At 51.6% G+C, this 26,065-nt stretch overlaps 1 protein-coding gene across 7 annotated transcripts in view, besides 1 other annotated feature; it reads left to right on the top strand.

Moving 5' to 3' along the window:
- IQGAP3 (IQ motif containing GTPase activating protein 3) overlaps positions 1-26,065 on the top strand; it is a 47,161-nt gene that overhangs the window by 12,047 nt on the left and 9,049 nt on the right. For 3 of the 7 annotated variants that reach the window (NM_178229.5, XM_011509198.4, XM_047446003.1), the window contains 18 exons: positions 3,826-3,986; positions 6,127-6,284; positions 8,424-8,545; positions 8,651-8,814; positions 10,168-10,258; positions 11,771-11,938; positions 12,032-12,171; positions 12,276-12,446; positions 16,047-16,130; positions 16,296-16,367; positions 16,469-16,538; positions 19,603-19,811; positions 20,529-20,681; positions 20,982-21,145; positions 21,486-21,710; positions 23,198-23,338; positions 25,272-25,356; positions 25,786-26,018. In NM_178229.5, coding sequence (NP_839943.3) covers positions 3,826-3,986; positions 6,127-6,284; positions 8,424-8,545; positions 8,651-8,814; positions 10,168-10,258; positions 11,771-11,938; positions 12,032-12,171; positions 12,276-12,446; positions 16,047-16,130; positions 16,296-16,367; positions 16,469-16,538; positions 19,603-19,811; positions 20,529-20,681; positions 20,982-21,145; positions 21,486-21,710; positions 23,198-23,338; positions 25,272-25,356; positions 25,786-26,018 — 2,611 coding nt within the window. Of the gene's footprint in view, positions 1-3,825; positions 3,987-4,039; positions 4,569-6,126; positions 6,285-8,423; positions 8,546-8,650; positions 8,815-10,167; positions 10,259-11,770; positions 11,939-12,031; positions 12,172-12,275; positions 12,447-16,046; positions 16,131-16,295; positions 16,368-16,468; positions 16,539-19,602; positions 19,812-20,528; positions 20,682-20,981; positions 21,146-21,485; positions 21,711-23,197; positions 23,339-25,271; positions 25,357-25,785; positions 26,019-26,065 lie in introns of those variants that run through there. The other 4 variants (XM_047445996.1, XM_047445990.1, XM_011509200.3 and 1 more) reach the window with 3 other exon arrangements.
- Positions 21,020-21,600: an enhancer, noted in NCBI's record as "NANOG hESC enhancer chr1:156508711-156509291 (GRCh37/hg19 assembly coordinates)". NCBI's record gives its function as "activates a minimal SCP1, AML or CMV promoter by ChIP-STARR-seq in naive H9 embryonic stem cells {active_cell/tissue: H9 hESC(naive)}" and the evidence as "EXISTENCE:reporter gene assay evidence [ECO:0000049][PMID:30033119]".

Genomic DNA, 26,065 nt, shown 5'->3' with positions numbered 1-26,065 from the left:
TTTTGTTTGAGACAGAGGCTCACTCTGTTGCCCAGGCTGGAGTGCAGTGGCACAATCTCGGCTCACTGCAACCTCCACCTCCTGGGTTCAAATGATTCTCTTGCCTCAGCCTCCCGAGTAGCTGGGTTGACAGGCACCTGCCACCATGGCAGACTAATTTTGGTATTTTTAGTAGAGGTAGGGTTCTTCGTGTTGGCCAGGTGGGTCTCAAACTCCTGGCCTCAAGTGATCTGCCTACCTTGGCCTCCCAAAGTGCTGGGGATTACAGGTATGAGTCACTGTGACCGGCCACAAATATAATTATTTATTACAAGAATGTGAGTTAGTAATTGTCTTCCTCCAAGAGATCTATCTGCACTGCAAGTATGAAGAGAAACAGTGCTGAGGCAAAATGCAGTAGCCTGTGGACACTAGGCCTGTTACAGTTGCTTGCCTTAGTCTGGACTTGCTGTCAGGTTTAGAGGTTGCTCAGTAACCATTTACCTTTGTCTAACAGAGCTTTCCGACATTCACTAGCTTTCAGTAGCCCCCGGGCCACTCCTGACTGGCTGCTTTCCTAATCCACTCAGTTCATTCCCGATTGCTGCTGCCAGAGTAATCTCTGAAGCACAGATCTGATCTTATCTCCCTTGTTGAACATCTTCAGACCTTCATGGGTTCTTCCATTATTTAGCCCACACTTTAGTCCTATCTCCTTGTCCTGGCAGATAAGACCTTTCCAGAGTTCATCCCCAGCTCTTCTGTTCACATTCCATCCAATTCAGCCGAGCAAACAATCTATTCTCCCTAGATTGCCCTCCAGCCTTTCCCATCACCGGGCTTCTGGTCCTGTGGGTTACATTTCTCCCACATTCTCACCTGTTGATGAGCGGGTGAAAACATTCTCCAGAGCTGTCTCCAAGGCTTCCTCCTCTGTGAAGTCTTCTGCTCTCTCCCAGGCAGAATCCCTCCTCCCCTGCTCTGCCATAGCATTGTGTGGGGGTGGCGGGAGGTGGACTTCTAACATGACATTGACAGCAGTGCACTGTAGGTACTTTGGTATCCTTAGTTCTTCCCAGTAGATTGTGCTCTCCTTGATGTCAGTGCCCGTATCTGCTAAGCATTTTGTAAGCCACAGAGTTTGTAAACTCAGACTACATTGAGGCACCACAGCCCCTTTTAAGCTTACTACTGCCCTTTGCAGCAAACGGCTCCACCTTGGAGCTGGTTCCTTATTCCTCTGTGCTGTCATCAAGCCTTGGTCCCTAGAGCCCCCTGACTAACCTCATCTTAGTTACGTTCCATAGCCACCTGTCAATCTTGTGCTCACCACCTTAGGAACTCACCCTCTGCTATGACAGCCACTCTGTGTTACATGCTGAGCTACTCAATTTCTTTTTTTTTTTTTTTTTTTTTTTTTATTGATCATTCTTGGGTGTTTCTCGCAGAGGGGGATTTGGCAGGGTCATAGGACAATAGTGGAGGGAAGGTCAGCAGATAAACAAGTGAACAAAGGTCTCTGGTTTTCCTAGGCAGAGGACCCTGCGGCCTTCCGCAGTGTTTGTGTCCCTGGGTACTTAAGATTAGGGAGTGGTGATGACTCTTAACGAGCATGCTGCCTTCAAGCATCTGTTTAACAAAGCACATCTTGCACCGCCCTTAATCCATTTAACCCTGAGTGGACACAGCACATGTTTCAGAGAGCACAGGGTTGGGGATAAGGTCACAGATCAACAGGATCCCAAGGCAGAAGAATTTTTCTTAGTACAGAACAAAATGAAAAGTCTCCCATGTCTACTTCTATCCACACAGACCCGGCAACCATCTGATTTCTCAATTTTTTCCCCACCCTTCCCGCCTTTCTATTCCACAAAACCGCCATTGTCATCATGGCCCATCCCCAATGAGCCGCTGGGCACACCTCCCAGACGGGGTCGTGGCCGGGCAGAGGGGCTCCTCACTTCCCAGTAGGGGCGGCCGGGCAGAAGCGCCCCTCACCTCCCGGGTGGGGCGGCTGGCCGGGCGGGGGGCTGACCCCCCCACCACCCTCCCGGACGGGGCGGCTGGCCAGGCAGAGGGGCTCCTCACTTCCCAGTAGGGGCGGCCGGGCAGAGGCGCCCCTCACCTCCTGGATAGGGCGGCTGGCCGGGCGGGGGGCTGACCCCCCCACCACCCTCCCGGACGGGGCGGCTCGCCAGGCAGAGGGGCTCCTCACTTCCCAGTAGGGGCGGCCGGGCAGAGGCGCCCCTCACCTCCCGGACGGGGCGGCCGGCCGGGCGGGGGGCTGACCCCCCCACCTCCCTCCCGGACAGGGCGGCTGGCCGGCCCCCCCCCCGCGCCTCCCTCCCGGACGGGGCGGCTGGCCGGGCAGAGGGGCTCCTCACTTCCCAGTAGGGGCGGCCGGGCAGAGGCGCCCCTCACCTCCCGGACGGGGTGGCTGGCCAGGCGGGGGGCTGATCCCCCCACCTCCCTCCCGGACGGGGCGGCTGGCCGGGCGGGGGGCTGACCCCCCCCACCTCCCTCCCGGACGGGGCGGCTGGCCGGGCGGGGGGCTGACCCCCCCACCTCCCTCCCGGATGGGGCGGCTGGCTGGGCGGGGGGCTGACCCCCCCACCTCCCTCCCGGACGGGGCGGCTGGCCGGGCAGAGGGGCTCCTCACTTCCCAGTAGGGGCGGCCGGGCAGAGGCGCCCCTCACCTCCCGGACGGGGTGGCTGGCCAGGCGGGGGGCTGATCCCCCCACCTCCCTCCCGGACTGGGCGGCTGGCCGGGCGGGGGGCTGACCCCCCCACCTCCCTCCCGGACGGGGCGGCTGGCCGACCCCCCCCCGCGCCTCCCTCCCGGACAGGGCGGCTGGCCGGGCGGGGGGCTGACCCCCCCCACCTCCCTCCCGGACGGGGCGGCTGGCCGGGCGGGGGGCTGACCCCCCCACCTCCCTCCCGGATGGGGCGGCTGGCCGGGCGGGGGGCTGACCCCCCCACCTCCCTCCCGGACGGGGCGGCTGGCCGGGCAGAGGGGTCCTCACTTCCCAGTAGGGGCAGCCGGGCAGAGGCGCCCCTCACCTCCCGGACGGGGTGGCTGGCCAGGCGGGGGGCTGACCCCCCCCACCTCCCTCCCGGACGGGGCGGCTGGCCGGGCGGGGGGCTGACCCCCCCACCTCCCTCCCGGACGGGGCGGCTGGCCGGGTGGGGGGCTGACCCCCCACCTCCCTCCCGGACTGGGCGGCTGGCCGGGCGGGGGGCTGACCCCCCACCTCCCTCCCGGACGGGGCGGCTGGCCGGGCAGAGGGGCTCCTCACTTCCCAGTAGGGGCGGCCGGGCAGAGGAGCCCCTCACCTCCCGGACGGGGCGGCTGGCCGGGCGTGGGGCTGACCCCCCCGCCACCTCCCTCCCGGACGGGGTGGCTGCCGGGCGGAGACGCTCCTCACTTCCCAGACGGGGTGGCTGCCGGACGGAGGGGCTCCTCACTTCTCAGACGGGGCGGTTGCCAGGCAGAGGGTTTCCTCACTTCTCAGACGGGGCGGCCGGGCAGAGGCACTCCTCACATCCCAGACAGGGTTGCGGCCCAGCAGAGGTGCTCCTCACATCCCAGACAGGGCGGCGGGGCAGAGGCTGAGCTACTCAATTTCTAGGCCTGACAAATTGCTTCTTACAGAGCCTCTTGTTAAAGCAACCCAGCCCCTTTTCTTCCTGAACACTTAGAAATGCATTTTAAACCTAGCAGATTTTTGAGAGCAGTTGGAAAGCCATTTCCCCACCAAGATCCCCCGGCGGAGCCTAGTTGGTGAGGAGAGTGGAGATGCCACTGAATGCCCGGCCAGTACAACCTGTTGCTCTCCTGCCTTGCAGTGCTCCACGCTGTGCAGCGGATCAACAAAGCCATCCGGAGGAGAGTGGCGGCTGACACTGTGAAGGAGCTGATGTGCCCTGAGGCCCAGCTGCCTCCAGTGTACCCTGTTGCATCGTCTATGTACCAGCTGGAGCTGGCAGTGCTCCAGCAGCAGCAGGGGGTAAGCCCCAGAAATGTGGGTCTAGCTCTGCAGTCTCCATGCAGCTGGAGGGATCAGGACAGGCAGCCCAGGCCACCCTCTTGTGAGTGCGATATGAGATGCTGGCACGAGATTAGGATGGGGAAAGAGCTACCATCCCTGCCTTACTGAGCGTATTTTAATAGCCAATACCTTGAGCAAACACTGCTTTACATACTCATTTAATCCTTAAAAGGACCCTATGAGGGAGGCATTCTATTTTAGAGATGGGGAAACTGAGATGCAGAGTTAAGTCACTTGCCCAACACAGCTGTGAGTGCCAGTGCTGGGAGTGGATGCAGAAGCCCATGCTTTGAAGCACTTCACTGTCCCACCTCATCCCAATCCATAGTTCTTCTCTGACAGTGAAACGACAGGGCCCTCACTTAGGGACTTTCTGTCTGTTGGAGGAGTTAGAATACACCTGAAGGTCCAAATAGAGACACACAGGGAGAGAAGAGCAGATGACATAAGTGGAAGAAGTCTTCAGACCAAGGAAATGGAGGAAGCAGAGCCGGGAAGTCTTCCTGGAAGAGAATCAATAGAGAACTACACCCACAGCAGGTGTTTATAGAGCATCTACTCCCAGCATGACTTGGATACAGGCACAGCCCTCAGGAAAGGCACAGTCTCAACATAGGAATGACTATGTACAAGGAAGCATAAAATAAGTACTAAGAAGTAAAGCATTGTGACTAAAGTTGTGGACTTTTGAGCCAGGCTGCGTGAGTTCAAATCTGGCTCTGCTACTTCTTAGCTATGTGACATTGGGCAAGTTAATTACTTTCTCTGCTGCTCAATTTCTTTGAATATAAAATGGGAACAATAATATATTTACCTCAGGCTATAGGATTAAATAAGGGAACATATTTGCTTAGAGAAGAACCTAAGAGAAGAAAGTAAGAACCTTAGAGAAGAAAGTAAACTTTAGCTATTAATATTATTGTTGTTGATATTCACAACATTCTGTTAGGAGAAAATAGGAAGGGGGCTGGGTGTGGGGGTTCATGCCTATAATCCCAGCACTTTGGGAGGTCCAGGCAGGCAGATCACTTGAGGCCAGGAGTTTGAGACCAGCCTGGCCAACATGGCGAAACCCCATCTCTACTGAAAATACAAAAATTAGCCAGGTGTGGTGGTGGCACATGCCTGAAATCCCAGCTACTCCAGAGGCTGAGGCTCAGAGATCACTTGAACCCGGGAGAGCCAAGATTGTGCCACTGCACTCCAGCCTGGGCCACAGAGTGAGACTCTATCTCAAAAAAACAGAGAAGAAAATAGGAAGGGTGCTCTAGACAAAGGGCACGGCATAAGCAGATGTTTGAAAAGCAGAAGAAGGACAGGGCAGGGAAATGGGGCCGGAGCTTCTTGGGTGTGCGGTGCAGTGCAGTGTGGAGGCGACCACTCCATCTTCATCTCTGTATACCCAGGGCCTAGTGCAGTTCAATTTTTTTTTTTATTTTAAGACGGTCTGGCTCTGTCACCCAGGCTAGAGTGCAGTGGCATGATCTCGGCTCATTGCAACCTCCACCTGGGTTTAAGCGATCCTCCTGCCTCAGTCTCCTGAGTAGCTGGGATGACAGGTACGCACCACCATGCTCAGCTAATTTTTGTATTTTTAGTAGAGACAGGATTTTGCCATGTTGGCCAAGCTGGTCTCAAACTCCTGAGCTCAAGCGATCTGTCCACCTTGGCCTCCAAAGTGCTAGGATTACAGGTGTGAGCCACTGCACCCGGCTAATACAGTTCTTGATATGCAGTAGGGACCAATGGGAGCTGGTAGAGCTTACTTGTTAAGTGTGGGCTTTGAAATCAGACAGCTAGTTTTGACTTACATTATTGGTCGTGGGCTCATCCATGAAATGGGGATGTTAATGGTACTATGGTTCTATTGTCGGCTTATTATGAAAATTAAATGATAATGTGTGTGAAGTACTTATAATTGAGCACATAGTAAGTATTATCAGGTGTTTTGTATGATGATTATTAGTGAGTGAATCAGGCCACTGGGGTTTTGGGATAGAGACTCTGGGATATTCAAGAACCTTGGGGGCAGGATGGTGAATAGGCCTTTAGACCCTTCACCTGCCCACTTGGGAATTGGCCCTCCCACCCATTGTAGGAGCTTGGCCAGGAGGAGCTCTTCGTGGCTGTGGAGATGCTCTCAGCTGTGGTCCTGATTAACCGGGCCCTGGAGGCCCGGGATGCCAGTGGCTTCTGGAGCAGCCTGGTGAACCCTGCCACAGGCCTGGCTGAGGTGGAAGGAGAAAATGCCCAGCGGTGAGAAAGGCTTAGCCACACATTGGGAGTGAGGGATGGGGGAATGCAGCCAAGACTCAGCACTCTTCTGTTGGAGACTTGCCTTGTGTACGATGTCCCATTCTTGGGCCCAGGCCCACCCTCTGGGTCTGTTCACAGTTCCTTGGCCTGTGTTTCTTCCTGGGAGTGGATGGGATCACAGTCATTCCTTTTTTCTTCATTGATTCATTCTTTCCTAGCAGATGTTTGAGTACTGACCCATGTGCCAGATATTACTCTAGGTGCTGGGAAACAGCAGTGAACAAAACACTTTCTGCTCTTGTCAAACTTACATGCTAGTAAAGGGAGACAGATGATGAGAAAAGAAGATGAGGTGGCTGGGTGCAGTGGCTCACGCCTGTAATCCCAGCACTTTGGGAGGCCAAGGCGGGAGGATCACTTGACGTCGGGAGTTTGGGACCAGCCTAACCAATGTAGAGAAACCCCATCTCTACTAAAAATACAAAATTAGCCGGGCGTGGTGGCACATGCCTCTAATCCTAGCTACTCTGGGAGCTAAGGCAGGAGAATGACTTGAACCTGGGAGGTGGAGGTTGTGTTGAGCCGAGATCGCACCATTGCACTCCAGCCTGGGCAACAAGAGCGAAACTCCATCTCAAAAAAAAAAAAAAAAAAGAAAGAAAGAAAAGAAAAGAAGAAAAGACATAGAGAAAAATAAAATAGGGCAAAGTGGGTAATGGGTAGAGACATAGTAGGGACAGTTTTTCTGTTTTACATAATGTAGATCTCTTTGCTGAGGAGGTCATTTTGAAAGAGACCTAAAGGGCATAAATGATTGCCATGAGGCTATCTGGGGCAGAGGCCTTAAGAAAGCAATGTGCATGGTGTGTTCAAAGAACATCAGGAAGCCAGTGTGGTGGAGTGAAGTAAGGAAGAAAGAGGAGTGGGAGATGAAGACCAAGTAGCCGAGGCCAGACCACGTAGGACTCTGGTTTTTACTCTGAGTGAGGAAGGAAGCCACGGGAGGGTTTTGAGCCGGGAGGGAGTTGATCTGACCTACTTCTTTTTTTTTTATTTTTAGAGACAGGGTCTTGCTCTGCCACCCAGGCTGGAGTGCAGTGGTGCAATCACAGCTCAGGGTCTGGTTCTGTCACCCAGGCTGGAGTGCAGTGATGCAATCACAGCTCAGGGCCTTGCTCTGTCACCCAGGCTGGAGTGCAGTGGTGCAATCATGGCTCACTGCATCCCTGAACTCCTGGGCTCAAGTGATCCTCCCAACTCAGCCTCCCAAGTAGCTAGGACTACAGGCACATGCCACCATGCCTGGCTAATTTTTTAATTTTTTGTAGAGATAGGATCTCTGTACGTTGCCCAGGCTGGTCTTGAACTCCTGGGCTCAAACTGTCCTCCCATCTTGGCCTCCCAAAGTGTTGGAATTACAGGCATGAGCCACCGTGCCCAGCGATCTGATCTACTTAATGGGATCTTTCTGGCTGCTGTGCTGAGAACTGACTGCAGGAGTACAAGGGGAAAGCAGGGAGACCTGTTAGACAGCTATTGGAGTAATCCAGGCAAGAGATGATGGGGGCTTGGCCTTGGGCGGTAGCGGAGATGGGAAAAAGGAGTCAGATTTTGGATACATTTTGAAAGCAAACTGACAGGATTTGGTCATATAATAGATATGGGGTAGAAGAGAGAACAGAATTAGGTATGACTCCAAGATTTGGGGCAAGATGGGAGAGACGGTGGGACATGCAGGTTAAGCAGGGGAACCAGTTCAGATGTGAGCTGTTGGGTTTGAGGTGCTTGTTAGACATTCACTTGGAAATCACAAGGAGCTGGCTGGGATAAATGAATGGGCTGGAGGTGTGCTTTCGGGAGCATATGGTGTTAAAGTCATGAGATTGGGTGAGATCATCTACAATGTAAGTATGGAGAGAGAAGAGGTCTGAAGACTGAAGATTGGGATGCTCCCATGTTTAGATGTCAGGGAGGAACCAGCAGAGGTGTCTCAGAAAGAATAGCCTGTGAGGCAAGAAGAGAACTAAAAGAGTGTGGTGTCCTGGAGGTCAAGTGAAGAAAATCGTTCAACTGTTTCCCCTGACTTCTGGCTGATGATTCACATGCTACTCACCTCTCTGCCCTTCACCCCACTGCCAGTTACTTCGATGCCCTGCTGAAATTGCGACAGGAGCGTGGGATGGGTGAGGACTTCCTGAGCTGGAATGACCTGCAGGCCACCGTGAGCCAGGTCAATGCACAGACCCAGGAAGAGACTGACCGTAAGTATAGTCTGGAGCTGGGTGGAGATGGCCCAACTTAGGCAGTCCTGTCCCTTAGCCATTAAGTCTAGGGGCCCCCTGCCCACCTAGATCTCTCTTTCTTAGGGGTCCTTGCAGTCAGCCTCATCAATGAGGCTCTGGACAAAGGCAGCCCTGAGAAGACTCTGTCTGCCCTACTGCTTCCTGCAGCTGGCCTAGATGATGTCAGCCTCCCTGTCGCCCCTCGGTACCATCTCCTCCTTGTGGCAGCCAAAAGGCAGAAGGCCCAGGTGAAGTTAGGGCTGGTTGGGTTGGTCATCAGAGCAGGAAGAACATTCTCTGTGGGTTGCACTGTACCCAGTCTGGCAGAGCTCTATTCTGATGGACACAATGGCTTCTGGGTGGGGGTGAGGGGGGTGTTCCAATCTGGTAAAGAAGGATGGCCCTGTTGCCAGGGCAGTGGGCAGTCCATGGGAAAAGCACAGGCCTGGGAGCCAGAGAAACAGGCTGGATTTCCCACTCTGACCCTTAGTGACCATGTGACCTTGAGCAAATCCCTTGATATCTCTGAGCTCTATTTACTCATCTGTAAAGTACTGCCTACGCTGGTCCTACCCAGCTCCCAGAATGAGGGTGAAAATCAAATGAATTGACAAATGGGGCAGGGTTCTGAACCTGAAACACCCTGAGTATGTTGCAGTAGAGAGTGGTTGAGAGCTCAGACTCCTGGGCCAGACTACTGGAGCCTACATCCTGGCGGCCTGACCCTGCACGTGTTACTTAACCTCTCTGTGCCTCTGTTTCATCACCTAGAAGCTTGTGGCAGTAAAGAGTGTATCTCATAGTTATGGGGTGTAAGTGAGATAATATGACAGTAGTACTGGCTAACATTTATTGAGTCCTTACTCTGTGCCAAGCATCATTTTATGTGCTTTACAAGTATTAATGCATAAGAAAGTGCTTTAGAATACTGCCTGGCACATAGTCAGTACTCAATAAAATGTTAGTTTACAAAGTCTATTATTATTGAGGAGAGTTGGGAAGGAGTAGAATCTGGGGTTGTGTGAGGCAAGGAAGGGTTCAAGCCTTTATCAGTCTGACAGTGTGGCAGGCATAGGCTTACTTGACCTGTGGGCTCATGTAATCTTCCCACTACCTTGTCGGGTAGAGGAGTGTGGAGCAAGAAAAGGAAAGAGAAGGTAAGGGTCAGGGTCAGGATTGGCCTGAGAAGGTGTGCAATGAGGCATAGGGGAGTGGGGCGTGGGGGCAGGTAGTTGGAGCCTCCAGCGTAGGCTATCCCTGGACATGGCTGAGGCATAAGAGCAGGGAATTGAGCTGTTGAGAAGGTGGTGGATGCTGAGGGTTTGAGGAGCTATGCAGAGCCTCTGTGGTTCTGGAGGTGCTGTGGCCAAGCCGAGTAGACCTGAAAGCCCAATAGGATAAGAGAGCCTTCTGAGCCTGGCCGCGTCCCAGGGAACCACATGCCACACATGCCCACACACAGGGCAGAGAGCTGAGTGGAGATCACTGTCCCTGTGGCTCCCAATGCCTGCCTGCAGTTTGGTTCCCTTGGGCATCTTGGCCTGGGAACCTAGAGAGACTAGCTTGGGGTCACATCTTTTTTTTCTCCCTCAATCTGCCAGGTGACAGGGGATCCTGGAGCTGTGCTGTGGCTTGAGGAGATCCGCCAGGGAGTGGTCAGAGCCAACCAGGACACTAATACAGCTCAGAGAAGTAAATGGACTGGTTGGGGGACCCTGGGAGGGGAGGGATGGTGATGTGGGCTCAGCAGCAGCCCAGATAATCAGGCAGCCTCCCTGGTCACCACCCTCTCCCTTCAACCTCTGTGGGGAGGCAGGCCAGAGTCAGAGCAGGAGGGCTGCTGTTCAGACTGCAGGATGGATTTCCTGGCAGTCAGCAGGGCAGGACATTCTCAGGAGGTGAGAATCCATAGTTCACCTGCTGCCTCCCTCTATGCCTTCCTGTGAACACTTTCCCTGTAATGTGGGCATGTGAGATCATGCGGTAGTCAGAAATCCCATTTCTGCTGGTAGCTTGAGTTTGGGTTCCAACAGTCAATCAGCTCTGGCTAGAAAATGTTTAGACTTGGAATGAGAGAAGAGGAATTGGCAGGAGTTTGAGGAAAACAGGCAGACTCAGTGCAAATAGACAGGGGTGTGCTGATGTTTGGTGCTGGTGGTGTTAGTTCTCAGTGGCTGGGGTCTCCCTGTCCATCTGTCTGTCTGCTAGTGAGTGGAAGGCAGATGCTACAGCAGCCATTCCCACCTCTTAGGCTCTCTTCTAAGAAACTGTCCCAGGGTCCTCTGCCCATATCCTGCATAAAGTGCTTCTTTTTTAAGACAGGGTCTTACTCTGTCACCCAGGCTAGAGGGCAGTGTACTGTGATCTCCATTCACTGCAACCTCTGAAGCAATCCTCCCACCTCGGATTCCTGAGTAGCTGGGAGGACAGGCATGCGCTACCATACCTGGCTAATTTTTTTTTTCTTTTTTTTTTTTTTTTTGAGACAGAGTGTTGCTCTGTCACCAAGGCTGGAGTGCAGTGGTATAATCTTGGCTCACTGCAACCTCTACCTCCCAGGTTCAAGCGATTCTTGGGCCTCAGCCTCCCGAGTAGTTGGGATTATAGGCGCCCACCACCACAGCTGGCTAATTTTTGTATTATTAGTAGGCACATATAATACATATAATTCACCATATTGGCCAGGCTGGTCTCAAACTCCTGACCTCAGGTGATCTGCCCGCCTAAGCCTCCCAAAGAGCTGGGATTACAGGCGTGAGCCACAGTGCCTGGCCAATTTTTGTATTTTTTTATAGAGATGGGGTTTCGCCATGTTGGCCAGGCTAGTCTCAAACTCCTGGGCTCAAGTGATCTGCCTGCCTCAGCCTCCCAAAGTGTTGGGATTACAGGCAGGAGCCACTGCTCTGGGCCTTTATGCTTCTGTTCAAGCTGATTTTCCTTTTATCAAGCCCCAACTCAGCCTAGCCCCACGCTGCCTCCCTCAGGAGTGCTTCATTGACTGCTGCTGCCTTTCCCTCCAAGCACAGTTGCATGCTGCTGCTTTTCATGCATGTGTCTCTGTCCATCCTGGGATGTTCCCGTCTACTCCTTCAGAAGGGTGATTTTGTGTCCTCTTTCATGGAATCTGTCCCTAGTGGACTGGCCAAGGCCCATGGGAGGGACTCGGGGGAAGGATTGACTGCTCTCTCCTGATGCCCCTGTCAGTGGCTCTTGGTGTGGCTGCCATCAATCAAGCCATCAAGGAGGGCAAGGCAGCCCAGACTGAGCGGGTGTTGAGGAACCCCGCAGTGGCCCTTCGAGGGGTAGTTCCCGACTGTGCCAACGGCTACCAGCGAGCCCTGGAAAGTGCCATGGCAAAGAAACAGCGTCCAGGTAATGGCCCCAACCTGACCCTCCTCTTCGCTGCCTGCCCCAGCCACCCCTTGCCTGCTCTGAACCTTTTCTGCTTGCTTGGTTTCTGCTTAGCAGACACAGCTTTCTGGGTTCAACATGACATGAAGGATGGCACTGCCTACTACTTCCATCTGCAGACCTTCCAGGGGATCTGGGAGCAACCTCCTGGCTGCCCCCTCAACACCTCTCACCTGACCCGGGAGGAGATCCAGGTTGGCAGAGCCCCTGCAAGGGTAGGGGATCTTGGATAGGAATGTCCTGAAGAAGAGGCTCCCACTCCCCAAAAGACCACAGCGTCTCTCTCCTGCCTCCACAGTCAGCTGTCACCAAGGTCACTGCTGCCTATGACCGCCAACAGCTCTGGAAAGCCAACGTCGGCTTTGTTATCCAGCTCCAGGCCCGCCTCCGTGGCTTCCTAGTTCGGCAGAAGTTTGCTGAGCATTCCCACTTTCTGAGGACCTGGCTCCCAGCAGTCATCAAGATCCAGGTGGCAGGCTCTGGCTTTCTCAGTCTTCAGGGCCTGGGCTTATCTGGGCTCCAGGGTATCCACGCTGCTTCCTTTTTACTGACATGGGAATGACCTTTCGGCCTCTGAATAGTAGTGGTTAAAAGCATAGGTTCTGGAGCCAGACCATGTATGTTTGAATCCCAGCTCTACCACCTCTTAGCTGTGTGACCCTGGCAAGTTACTTACCCTCTCTCCCTCAGTTTCCTCACTGGTCCCTCAGTCTTTTCATCTGAAAATGGGGATAACGATAGCACCTACCTTATAGAGTTGTTATGAGGATTAAGTTAGGTAATATCTCAAGTGTTTATAAATTGTGCCTGGGAGGTAGGTAAGAACATGTTAGAAGTTACCATGCTATTTATATCATTATCGTCACTATCCAGAGAGTGAGAGCTGCTTCTTAGCTTCCCCAAGGGAAGAGTGAAATAAGATTTAGCTGGGCGCAGTGGCTCATGCCTGTGATTCCAGCCACTCAGAAGGCTGAGGTGGGAGGATTGCATGACAGGGTCTCACTCTGTCACCCAGGCTAGAGGGCAGTGTACTGGCTGAAATGAGCTATAATGACACCACTGCACTCCAGCATGGGCAACAGAGCGAGACCCTGTCTCTAAAAATGTGTGTGTGTCTGTGTGTGTGTGTGTGTGTGTGTGTGTGTGTGTGTGTCTGTGTGTCTGTGTCTGTGTGTCTGTGTGTTTAGTAAGACATCAAGGCTAGGACACTAGGAGGGCTCGAAGAAGTGGTGGTGGTTAAACAGAAAAGGGGTGGAATATCCTTTAGGAAGAGAATAGCCTTCTACCTTTCCTCTCCTACCAGCCCTTCCCATTTTTATTCTTCCAACCCGTGGATGGTCCAGTGTGGCCTCTGAGACTGACCCATAAGTAATTGAGACATGAGGCTGGTAGGGAAGATAGCCAGAGACACTGTGCAAGCAAGCCAGGAATGATGGCAATTGAGCAGATACCTTCCCAGGCAGATGTGATCTGGAGGGCCTCGTGGAGGTGCTGGCAATGTAAGATGCTTTCACAAACTTCTTTGAATGCCAAGAGCATGCCACTTGGCACTAAGCAAGGGTGGGAGATGGGTGCAAGGCCCACGGGTGAGTAATCACTTCTCTCCCCTCACAGAAATTGGAGTACACTTGATGTCAGACATTGTGATAGGAGGGACATGAAGACAACACCAGAGGACACCAAGGGAGACAGATGTGCAGATCAGGACTGGCAAATGGCCCTTGATTATGACTGAGGGTGTTGGGGGGTAATTGAGAGCTCAGGCTTTGGGGTCAGAAGGTAGAGTTTGCCTCCTGGTCCTACCACTTCTGGGTCATATGACATTGGGCACCTTACTTATGCCCTCTCTAGCACTCGGTTTCCTCATTCATAATGATGGTACTCACCTCATATGTTGATTAGGAGGATTCAGTAGGAAAATTACATGTAGCACTTAGCATGGTAAGTGCTCCGTTGATGGGAGCCATTATGAGATTTTGTTTTCAGGGCATTGGTCCCAGAACTCAATACAGAACTTTAGTGATCTGTATTTAGTGGTCTGAATCATAGGGATTTCTCCCTCCTGAGCCCAGTCTGGAATTTCACACTAAGGCGATGAAAAACCACACCAACAGTGGGAGAGAAGATGGAGTCAGAGGGAACATTTGTCACTAGTACCAAAGCTGTGTGGGCTCTGGCCTGGGTCCTGGGAGACAGAGAAAGAGAGGGGTAGCCCAGAGCCTTGAGCCTCTTGCCCGGGGAAAGGAAAATCCAAAATGAGGCTTCCTGGGTGTGCTGAGACTTTATCTCCTGAAAGCTCTGACCCTGGCCAGAACCCCATCCAGGATCCTGAATTCTGACCAATTCAGAGGCCTTAAGGAGCCTGGTGGAGGTTGGGTAGTGAGTAAGAGCAGAGAGCAGACCACTCTGCCTTTTCCCACAGCAACTTTCCAGTCAGTACCTGGAGGAGGAAAGGAAAGAGTCCTGAGGGCAGGCTTGGAAATGGGCCTTCCTGACCTCTAGGCTCCAACATGGACAGCTGGCATCATGGACCAAGCTATCCTCTTTTACATCCTATCCCAACAGAGGGGCCGTGTAAGCCTTGAGGGAAAGCTGGCAGAACTGGCTTTAGGAAGGGCTAAGGGCAACTGAATGAAAGGAGTTGCTCCCAAGTCTTACCAAACTGAGACAATGTCAGTGGTAGAGTATCTCCCAGGGCCTGTGCACTGGGAGATGCTGGACATGGGGCCTAAAAGACAGGAAGGGCCAAGCATGGTGGCTCACGCCTGTAACCTCAGAACTTTGGGAGGCCGAGGTGGGAGGATTGCTTGAGCCGAGGAGTTCAAGACTGGCCTGAGCAATATAGTAAGACCCCATCTCTACAAAACATAAAAAAGTAATCAGGCATGGTGACACACACCTGTGATTCCAGCTACTTAGGAGGCTGAGGCAGGAGGATCACTTGAGCCCAGGAGGTTGACGCTGCAGTGAGCCATGACAGCACCACTGCACTCCAACCTGGGTGACAGAGAAAGACCCTGTCTCAAAAAAAAAAAAAAGACAGGAAGTATTTCAGTGGGAACAAAGGTGAGTATAAAAGGTTCAGGGACAGAAAACCATAAGGCATGTTTACAAGAAAGTGAAAAGTCTGATGCATCTAGGATCCTTAAGAAGGTGGGGACCAGTGGCAAGTCAAATAGGGAGTGTTGGGTCAGATGGTTGAGAACTTCTGGAAACAGGCTGGGATAGTCTATAGTCTAAGAGGTACTTTAGGAAAATTAATCCCACACAAGCTTGGAGGGAAAGGGAAAAGTCTCCTAGGAAGGAGACTGGATTGGAAGAGGGCCTTGAGATTTTAGAGACCAAAGGAGGCATGATTTGTGCAGACGTCGGTTGGGCCCTTTGCAGCAGATCAGCTAGGGGAGAGGCCATCAGCCTGACAGCTGAGTTACTGGGGACCTTGGTGGGAAGATTTGCTGAGAACTAGGGTCAGGAGCTGGATTGTGTTTTAAAGAGAATGTGAGTTATGAGAGCATTAGTGACCTGCTGCCCAGGTGGCCGCGGGCAGAGATGGTGAGCACACGGCTCTGTGCCTGTACACACTTCTCATCCACACAACTGCATGCATTTCCAGACTGCTCTCTGCCCACTTTCTGTGCACATGAGGGAGGGTGGAGTGTGTGATAGTGTGTGGGTGGTCTGCATATGGGTGTATGAGTATATTTTAGGCTGATATGGTACATACTTTGGTGAAGTTGATGAGTAGGTGTATGCTTTATTATCTTTTAGGACTGTATCTTATAGTTGAGTTTCTGTGAAGAGGTGTTGGTTAGAGGTGTGTGGGTGTGGGTATGTGGGTGTTTGTTCTGGGACCAGGGAGTATGGCAGAGGGCATTGTTGGCTATGTGAAGCCATTTGGTCTTCCCCATGAAGTTGGAAGTTCTTTGAGAACAGGGCCACTTTCCCCTTCCCCCTCTATTTAACTGCCCCCTTCCATTCCCTGGAGGGCCCAGGACAAAGATTTTCTTAAAAGCCTTTCTGGCCAAAGGAGACCTGCTTGAGTTACTTCCCTTTCTCTCCTGATGTGCAGGCTCATTGGCGGGGTTATAGGCAGCGGAAGATTTACCTGGAGTGGTTGCAGTATTTTAAAGCAAACCTGGATGCCATAATCAAGGTAGCTACGGTGGTTTTGGCAGGCTCCTTTCTCTCAAAGGACCGTCTGAGAACAATCTTGTAGTCTTGTCACCTTCTTGTGACCTCTAGATTTAGCTGAATTGGCCTGAGACTGAGTGAGGGTGGGCCCCAAGCTGGAGCTGAGGCAGTGTGTTTCTTCTCCCAGATCCAGGCCTGGGCCCGGATGTGGGCAGCTCGGAGGCAATACCTGAGGCGTCTGCACTACTTCCAGAAGAATGTGAGTGTCACCTTGTTCCCCCTGCCCACATACCCAACCTTTGCCCATGAGACTAGAGCAAGGACAGCCAGCAACCCTTTTCCAATCTGTGTTTGTGGCAGGTTAACTCCATTGTGAAGATCCAGGCATTTTTCCGAGCCAGGAAAGCCCAAGATGACTACAGGATATTAGGTGAGCTGCCTGATCCACCCTCCCCAGCTGTTGGGAGGGAGAGGACCCCACAGAGCCAGGCAGGTCTAGACATCCTTCTGCGACTGCACAGCAGGTAAGGGGAAGGTAGTCACAAGTTGTCTGTGCAGGAGCATGGAACAGGAGTTGTAACAAAAGCCCCCCTGCTCATCCCAATCACAGATAGCCTTGTCACGTGAAAGTTCTTCTAACCAGGCTCTTTTTGGAACAGGCTTAGATTATCTGCCTATTGCTACCACCAAAGCAGAAAGAAAAGGATCTTGCTTCTTTTCTTAGGGTTCAACCTTCTCCTCTCCAGTCCTCTGTGGCCCAGCACAAACAAGGCCTGGTGAGGCACACAGAGTACATCTATTCCGTGGTGTGGAGAATGTGAGAAGCACCCAAGGGAGTGCCATCTTCCTGCTCCATATTCCCCATTAGTTGGGTGCTCATTTAAAGCTTTAAAGAGATCCTTTCTGGCTCTTGTTCTTCAAGTTCAGAAGCCCAGCAAATGGCATCCCCTTCCTTTTTGTGAAATTGACAAGTAGTCCATTTCTACATTCACCTCTAGCCCCTGGGTTCCTGAAGCAGTAGGCCCCTTTCCTTCCTGGCCTTGAGGCTGCACTCTTGGGCTTCTGGTGAGATGTCCTGTTCAGGAATCCTCTCCTTCACCTCCTCAGTCCTTCTTCGCCCCTGTCCTGCCCACAGGGGCTTTGCCTGTCCCTTCTCTGGCCATGCACACTCAGGCCATCTGCTTCCTGTCAACAAGCTTCTTTCTCTCCTTCCCTATCCCCAGCCTAGCCCATTCTATTTTGTCTCTGTGGTTACACTAACACCATTGTCCTGGCCATTCTTTATCTTCTTTTTCTTCTCTTCAGTTTATGGTTTTTCTGGAAGAACTTGCTTTTCCCTAGTGCTGTCTCCTGACTTCACTGGCCCCCAGACTTTACTCAGAGCTCTACCATTTACTAGCTGTGTGGCCCTTGGCAAGTTACTTAACTTCCTTTTTTTTTTTAATTGATTATTTATTTATTTGTTTATTTAGGACAGAGTCTCGCTCTGTCACCCTGGCTGGAGTGCAGTGGCATGATCACGGCTCACTGCAGCCTCAACCTTCCAGGCTCAAGCGATCCTCCCATCTCAGCCTCCTGAGTAGCTGGGACTGGAGGCGTACACCACCACAACTGGCTAACTTTTTGATTTTTTGTAGAGATGGGGGTCTCCCCATTTTGCCCAGACTGGTCTCAAACTCCTGGGCTCAAGTGATCCACTCACCTTGGCTGCCCAAAGTTCTGGGATTACAGTCATGAACCACCACACCCAGCCAATTAACTTCCTTCTTGCCCACTTTTCTCCTTTATAAACTGGACATAATGCTAATACCTATCTTGTAGGGTTGTTTTGAGGAGTTAATATGCTGTATTTCATCGAATCCAAGATGCCATGAATTGTCTTGGCCTCTACCCTTCTTCACTCCTCAAAGATTTGTCCCCAGGCCGGGCCTGGTGGCTCACACCTGTAATCCCAGCACTTTGGGAGGCTGAGGCAGGAGAATCACCTGAGGTCAGGAGTTTAAGACCAGCGTGGCCAACATGGTGAAACCCTGTCTCTACTAAAGATACAAAAATTAGCCAGACATGGTGACAGGTACCTGTAATCCCAGCTACTTGGGAGGCTGAGGCAGGACAATCTCTTGAGCCCAGGAAGCAGAGGTTGCAAGTCGCTGAGATCATGCCACTGAATTCCAACCTGGACAACAGAGCGAGACTCTGTCTAAAAATAAAAATAAAAAAAGATTTGTTCCCCTACTGTAGCCAGATTAATCCATTAAACCTGTACATGTGATCATGTCACTCACCTCCTTAAGACTTATCATGATGCCCTGTTGCCTTGAGGATAAAGTCCAACCTCCTAATCACAGCTTTGGGGCTTTTTGTGATCCAGCCTTTCCCTACACCTCTAACTTCACTGACCTGCCCCTCACCACCTACACCTTCTGCACTGTGTTCCAGATACAGTGGACTTCCAGCACTCCCCACATTCACCCTCTCTGCCTCCTTTTCACCGACATCTGGGGTGTCTCACCTCCTCCTTGCAGTGTCTCTTCACTCCCCAGGTGGGGTTGGGCAACCCACTTTTGTTTTCCCAAAGATCCCCATGCTTGCTCCTCTCAAAGTGCTAACTACACTGCAGTGAATTGTGGTTTATTTGTCTAGTTCCCCTACTAGACTGCCTTTAGGGACAGGGACTAGTTTTATTCATCTTCCAAATCTGACTCCTTCATTTATTACTAACTGTGTAACATAGGGCAAGTTGCTTACCTTCTCTGAGTCTCAGAGTTATTATCGGTAAGAGAGGATAGTTATAGTGTACTGACCTCACAGGTGGTCTTAAGTACGTAAAGTACTTAGAACAGGTTCTGTCTCATAGTAAACATTCTATGTATTAGTTGTTTTGTTGTTATTTCCAATAAATTAGCTCAGAGGCTTCTTTCTTTTTTGCTCAAATGCCAATTCCAAAGGTGATTCAAGGAGAATCACCAGCTAGCTCTGACCTCCCCTAAATTATAAAGCCCACTGTCCATCCCGTCTACCTGTCCTTCCCGGTGTGTACAGACATTCCTGACAGAGGAGCACTGTGGGAGCAAGCAGGGCTGAGTGGTGGCTGGCAGGTAGGAGGAGGAGGAGGAGCAGGTTGGCCCAGCAGAAGTGAGTGGTAGATTGGGGTAGACTAGGGAGGTCTGGGAGGATAATCAGAGGGAGCTGTGGCTCTGGCTTTGGTGTCAGAGGTCCCTGGGATAGACCCAGGCTGGGGTGAATCAGAGGCATGGGAAGAGCAGCTATTATGTCATCTCCAGTTATAAGACAGGAAGCTCAGGGACAGGCCTGGCTAGAAGGCTACCCACTGCCCTCCAAGTGCAAGCAGAACCAGTTAGAAGAGGACTGGGGTTGGGGACCTGCTGATCCCAAGCAGAACGGGGACTGGGGTGGGCTGACTCGGGCAGGGGCTGGTGAGGAGGCCTCTGATGAGGCATGGCTAATCCTGATGCCTCCTCCCTTCCTCCCAGTGCATGCACCCCACCCTCCTCTCAGTGTGGTACGCAGATTTGCCCATCTCTTGAATCAAAGCCAGCAAGACTTCTTGGCTGAGGCAGAGCTGCTGAAGCTCCAGGAAGAGGTAGTTAGGAAGATCCGATCCAATCAGCAGCTGGAGCAGGACCTCAACATCATGGACATCAAGATTGGCCTGCTGGTGAAGAACCGGATCACTCTGCAGGTATGGGGCCCACCAGTCCTCCCCTCCCCGAGATCTGCCTGCCTCTGGAGATGTGATGCTGACCATTCTCTGCTTGCTAATCAATTTTTTTCAAAATGTTGTGGATTTTGTCACCTGACTCAGGTCCTTGTTCCAGTGGCCCTCTGCCATTCTAATAAATCATTTTGGGGGACCCATGACAGAGTAGAAAGAGCATGAAACCTAGAATCAGAATGCCTGGCTCTGCTGATTCCCAGGGATGGGGCTGTGGGTGCTCATTTCACTTCTAAGTCTGTTTTCTCATTAGCAAACTGAGAATAATGAGAATGTCCACCTCTCCAGGCCAAATATAGAGACAGATATGAAAGCTGTTTAAATCATAAATTACCATATAAATATGCAGTGACAGGGTAATAGTGATATAGTGATAGCTCCACCTCAAATGTGTGTAGCAGTCTAATAAGAAGAGATAGCAAAAGCCAAATAGACACAATTCCTCAGCCTGGCAAACCAGTTCTCTTTGGGGACTCACTCCCATGACAGGAGAGGAAACAGATGGAGTCTCAGGGCACTTGGAGGGGCCCTTCCTCACCCTAGAACTGCTTCTGTCCCCCAGCTTATGCCTGTTCCTTGAACAGCAGAAAGCCCTGGCTCTTCAAGGCACTGATTCTAGACCGTATGTTCTGTGCCCTGGGATGGCCTAGGCTAGTTGTATCACCCGCTCCTCCACCCCTGCAGGAAGTGGTCTCCCACTGCAAGAAGCTGACCAAGAGGAATAAGGAACAGCTGTCAGATATGATGGTTCTGGACAAGCAGAAGGGTTTAAAGTCGCTGAGCAAAGAGAAACGGCAGAAACTAGAAGCATACCAACACCTCTTCTACCTGCTCCAGGTTAGCAGAGGACTTTCCAAGGAGAAGTCTCTCCCGTCTCCTGAGGGTCTGAGACTTCAAGGCCTTCTTGTCTGTGCGTTTGGCACCATGCAAGGTGTCCTTTCCCATAATCTTAATTCCTTATCCCCAGGAAAGGAGACTACCTCTTCCCCTGTTTGTCTGGAATGTTACTAGCACCTGGAGAAAGTGTGGTAGTGCTTTCTCCATTCCAGATTTCCATCAGGGGAAAGCCTTTCCTTATCCTATCACTGGTCCTTGAAGTGCATGGTCAGCCATTCCTGTCTCCCCTCTTGCTTGCAGACTCAGCCCATCTACCTGGCCAAGCTGATCTTTCAGATGCCACAGAACAAAACCACCAAGTTCATGGAGGCAGTGATTTTCAGCCTGTACAACTATGCCTCCAGCCGCCGAGAGGCCTATCTCCTGCTCCAGCTGTTCAAGACAGCACTCCAGGAGGAAATCAAGTAGGCTCTCCAGACACAAAGGAATGGGGAGAGAATGGGTTAAGAGATCCCCCTGTTGGCTCCTTCACAAGGTGACAACTTGTTGAGGCCTAAGGGTAGAAATGGAATCAGAAGACCTCTTTTCTCTACCTCCTGTGGAGAAACCGTAAAACATCTGGGACAGCACAGTGGGAGGATATGGGCTGACATGCTAACACAAAGGATGAGAGAGATATCAAGACATTCCTTAAGAGCGGGGACACCAGGGCAGGCTTTGAGAGCCAAAATCTCAAAAAGGAAAAGCAACGGTATGTCCTACACAGAGGCAGAAGACTGGTTTCAATGACCTCTTAAACCACAGGTCAAAGGTGGAGCAGCCCCAGGACGTGGTGACAGGCAACCCAACAGTGGTGAGGCTGGTGGTGAGATTCTACCGTAATGGGCGGGGACAGAGTGCCCTGCAGGAGATTCTGGGCAAGGTTATCCAGGATGTGCTAGAAGACAAAGTGCTCAGCGTCCACACAGACCCTGTCCACCTCTATAAGAACTGGATCAACCAGACTGAGGCCCAGACAGGGCAGCGCAGGTGAGCACATGGGCAGAGGGAGGAGCTCTCTTTGATCAGCTGTGTCTTGATCAGCTGTGTCTTGGACCCTACTGGGGAAGCTTGGGTGTACTTTGAAGGTGGCATATAAATGGGCATGCTGATCTATGCAAATATGACACCAGCTTTGTAGGCATGAATAAGGTAGTCTTTTAGACCCCCTCTGATAATTAACATGAAACTGATGTAAATGACTTCAGACCTGGTGGGCTTAACATAAAATGAGTACAGATGAATATGCAAATGTGCTTAATTGCTATGTCAGTGCTTGCAAATGATGTGTCAAATTTGGTGGTAGTAGGGCCGGACATAGTGGCTCACGCCTGTAATCCCAGCACTTTGGGGGGCTCAAGGTGGGCAGATCACCTGAGGTCAGGAGTTTGAGACCAGCCTGGCCAACATGGTGAAACTCTATCTCTACTAAAAATGTAGGTCAGGCGTGGTGGCTCACGCCTGTAATCCCAGCACTTTGGGAGACCGAGGCAGGCGGATCACGAGGTCAGGAGATCGAGACTATCCTGGCTAACATGGTGAAACCCCATCTCTACTAAAAATACAAAAAATTAGCCGGGCGTGGTGGCAGGCACCTGTAGTCCTAGCTACTCGGGAGGCTGAAGCAGGAGAATGTCATGAATCTGGGAGGCAGAGCTTGCAGTGAGCCGAGATCGTGCCACTGCACTCCAGGCTGGGCGACAGAGCGAGACTCTGTCTCAAAAATAAAAAATACAAAAATTCGCCGGGTGTTGTGGCGCACTCCTGCAGTCCCAGCTACTCGGGAGGCTGAGGCAAGAGAATCACTTGAACCTGGGAGGTTGCGGTGAGCCGAGATTGCACCACTGCACTCCAGCTCTAGGCAACAGAGTGAGACTCTGTCCCCCCGCAAAAAAAAAAAAAAAAATTTGCTGGGAGTTAGGATATGGACTCCTATTGATAGGGGTATAGAAGAATATTTCTATTTACAGATGAATAGGCAAATGAGATAGTGGGAGAGATAGGTTGCCCTTATAGCCTGGGGTCATTACTCAGGTCCCTAGGTGCTAGGGAAACCTAGCCACAGAGGCGAGCAGGCAATCCTGGTGGCTGCTCTGGATGGCACAGGAGGCTTTAGGTGAGGGAACTATAAGGCTCTGGCCCAGCCTCTCCATTATTCCAAACTCCCAAAGACTATTTGCAGCGCAGCCGCCTGCTTGTCATCTGTTCCCCTTAGAAGGGTCCCTAGATTCCACGTTCTCTGTTCCTTCCTACATTCTTCCAGCTTCCCTGTAGATACTCCAACTCTTCTTTACCTCCCGACTGCATTTCTCCAGTCCTTTCTCTCATTCTGGCCCTTTCTCCTTTAGCATGCTGAGCTGTCCTTAGCACATCTGTATGAGATCTTGTTGTTAGACAAGCGTTTAAGGAATAGGGCCTTGGGGAAGGAGGCCATTGGAGGGGGCTCCTGCTTACACCTTGTCTCTCTCTGCTCATAGCCATCTCCCATATGATGTCACCCCGGAGCAGGCCTTGAGCCACCCCGAGGTCCAGAGACGACTGGACATCGCCCTACGCAACCTCCTCGCCATGACTGATAAGTTCCTTTTAGCCATCACCTCATCTGTGGACCAAATTCCGTATGTGCAACAGCCCCACCCCAGCCTACGCATGGGATTTCAAGAGGGCCAGGCCACCATGGGGAGCAGAGCAGGGTGATAGTCCTGCAGGGAGGAAGGCAGGGAGGGAGATGGAGCCAGGGGTACTCAGAGGGGTTCCTGAAGAGATGTGGGGAATGCTCGAAGCTCCTGCTAGAGAGCTGAGCTGAGAGACGGCGTGCAAGTCTGTGTGTGGCCTGGTAGGATGTCAGTGGAACCAGAGGAGGGACCCTAAAATGATCTCAGGGACACTTTATTAGCTAAGAGCAAATGAGGAGAAAATGGGACTCTTCAGTTCCCAATATCAAAAATAAATATTTTAAGCCCATAAAGTACTTTATAGTTCTCTCTTTTCTTAAAATTTAGTCAATACGTTTGGTTTTCTACATTTATTTTTGACACATGATAATTGTACATATTCATAGGGTATAGTGTGATGTTTTGATACGTGTATACATTGTGCAATGAATGATCAAATCAGGGTAATTAGCATATCTATTACCTCAAACATTTATTTCTTTTTGGTGAGAACATTCAAAATCCTTCTAGCTATTTTGAGATATACAACACATTATTATCAACTATAGTCACCTTCTGTGCAATAGAGCACCAGAACTTATTCTTTCTACCTGGATGTAACTTTGTACCCATTGACCAACCTCTCCCCATCCTCTCTCCCCTTCTCCTACCCTCCCCAGACTCCGGTAACCACCATTCTACTCTCTACTCCTGTGAAATCACCTTTTTAAGATTCCACATATGAGTGAGATTATGCAGTATTTGTCCTTCTGTGTTTGGCTTATGTATGTCACTTAACACGAACCTCTACGTTCATCTATGTTGTCGAAAATGACAGGCTTTCATTCTTTTTTTGTTTGTTTTTCTTTATTTTTTATTATTATTATTTTTAAGACAGGGTCTCACTCCATTGCCCAGGCTGGAATGCCCAGGGCAAGATGAGGATGTTGAAAGGGGGAACCCACAGAGTTTATAACCCTGCTCCCCAAACCTGGAGAACCGGATTAAGAGTTTACAATTAGGAGTAAGAAAAGATTGTTCTAGGCTTAAGAAAGTAAAGTACACAATGAGCTGTAAACTTCTGTCTCTGGTACCCTAGGAGTGGAAATTGCTTTTAAATGAATTTAATTACATTTGTAGGTGGCACATCCATAATAGGAATAATAATGATAATACAGTCTAGCACATTTGAATAGTACTCTACCATTATACGTTACTCTCGCAGACATAATTTCACTTGATCCTCAAAAAGCCCTGTGAGAAGAGAAGGCAAGAATGATCATTCCCATTTTCTAGACCAGGGGACAGACTTACAAAGGAGAAGGAAATAGTCTAAGATAATATCTCTGGTTGGTGGTGGAGTCCAAACTGGAGCTTCTCCTCCCGGCTCACTGATCTCCTTGGGGCCCTACCTCTAGCCCAGACTAGGCCACTCACAGATGCTCTGTGACAGCTGACAAGGTTGACTACCTCGGAGCCACCTAGGCTGTCCTAGGACAGGGTTTTGGCTGTGAGTGTCAGATACCCAAGCTTTAGGTTAATGGTGCCTCTGGGGGATGGGGGATGGCTATGGTGAGCTGGGGTGCTCTGCAGGGGACCCAGAGAGTCTCAAAGAAGAGGTTCTCGAGCCAGGTTGGAGGCTGTGTGAGAGATTTAGTAGATGATAGGGCCCTGGTCCTGACTACTGACATAAGGCAGGAGGAAGGGACAAGGCCCAGAGACGTTTGGAGGAAGGCAGCAGGGAGCTGGCTATGGCTAGTGGAGGGACAGTGCTTGAGCTCTACTCTGGAGTGGCTGAGCCTGGGGGAGAAGAGACAGCCAGGCACTCAAGCTCTTATCTCTGGCAGAGAGAGATGGGCAGAGGCACAGCCACGCGCACCTGTTTCTTTGTCCCCAGGTATGGGATGCGATATGTGGCCAAAGTCCTGAAGGCAACTCTGGCAGAGAAATTCCCTGACGCCACAGACAGCGAGGTCTATAAGGCAAGTGTTGTCTCCCCACCCCCACCTCCCAATCCCTCCTTTGCTTTGCTGGTACCTGCAATCCCCAGACTGAGACAAAAACACAAAAAATCCTATGCCATAAAAATCCAAGGAGGGAAATATGCTGCCCCCTATAAATGGAGCCTGGCTCACCCGCAGGGCTTCAGGTGGCAGATGGCTCATGCTGGGGTGTGAGCGAACAGAGTGGGCAACACTGGCTTCTTGTCAGGAGATCTGGGTTCAAGTCCCAGCTCTTGCTCAGGTTTGCTGTGTGGCCTTAAGCAAGTTGTCTGCCTGCTCTGGGCCTGTTTTCTTTGAAGTGAGGGGGTTGGCCCAGGTGTCCCTTCCAGCCAAGCAAGCTGAGAATGTGGGGCCGCACCAGTCAAGGCGGCCCCTGGACACTTCTGGGAGAGTCTCCTTTGCCCTCAGGTGGTCGGGAACCTCCTGTACTACCGCTTCCTGAACCCAGCTGTGGTGGCTCCTGACGCCTTCGACATTGTGGCCATGGCAGCTGGTGGAGCCCTGGCTGCCCCCCAGCGCCATGCCCTGGGGGCTGTGGCTCAGCTCCTACAGCACGCTGCGGCTGGCAAGGCCTTCTCTGGGCAGAGCCAGCACCTACGGGTCCTGAATGACTATCTGGAGGAAACACACCTCAAGTTCAGGTCTTGGGTCCCTTTCCTCTCTGTCCCCTTTCTTCCCTCTTCTCACC

Source organism: Homo sapiens, chromosome 1, assembly GCF_000001405.40.
Source record: "Homo sapiens chromosome 1, GRCh38.p14 Primary Assembly".
Lineage (NCBI taxonomy): Eukaryota > Metazoa > Chordata > Mammalia > Primates > Hominidae > Homo > Homo sapiens.
The sequence above is the reverse complement of the archived record's forward strand: the minus strand, read 5'-3'. Positions and strand labels throughout refer to the sequence as shown.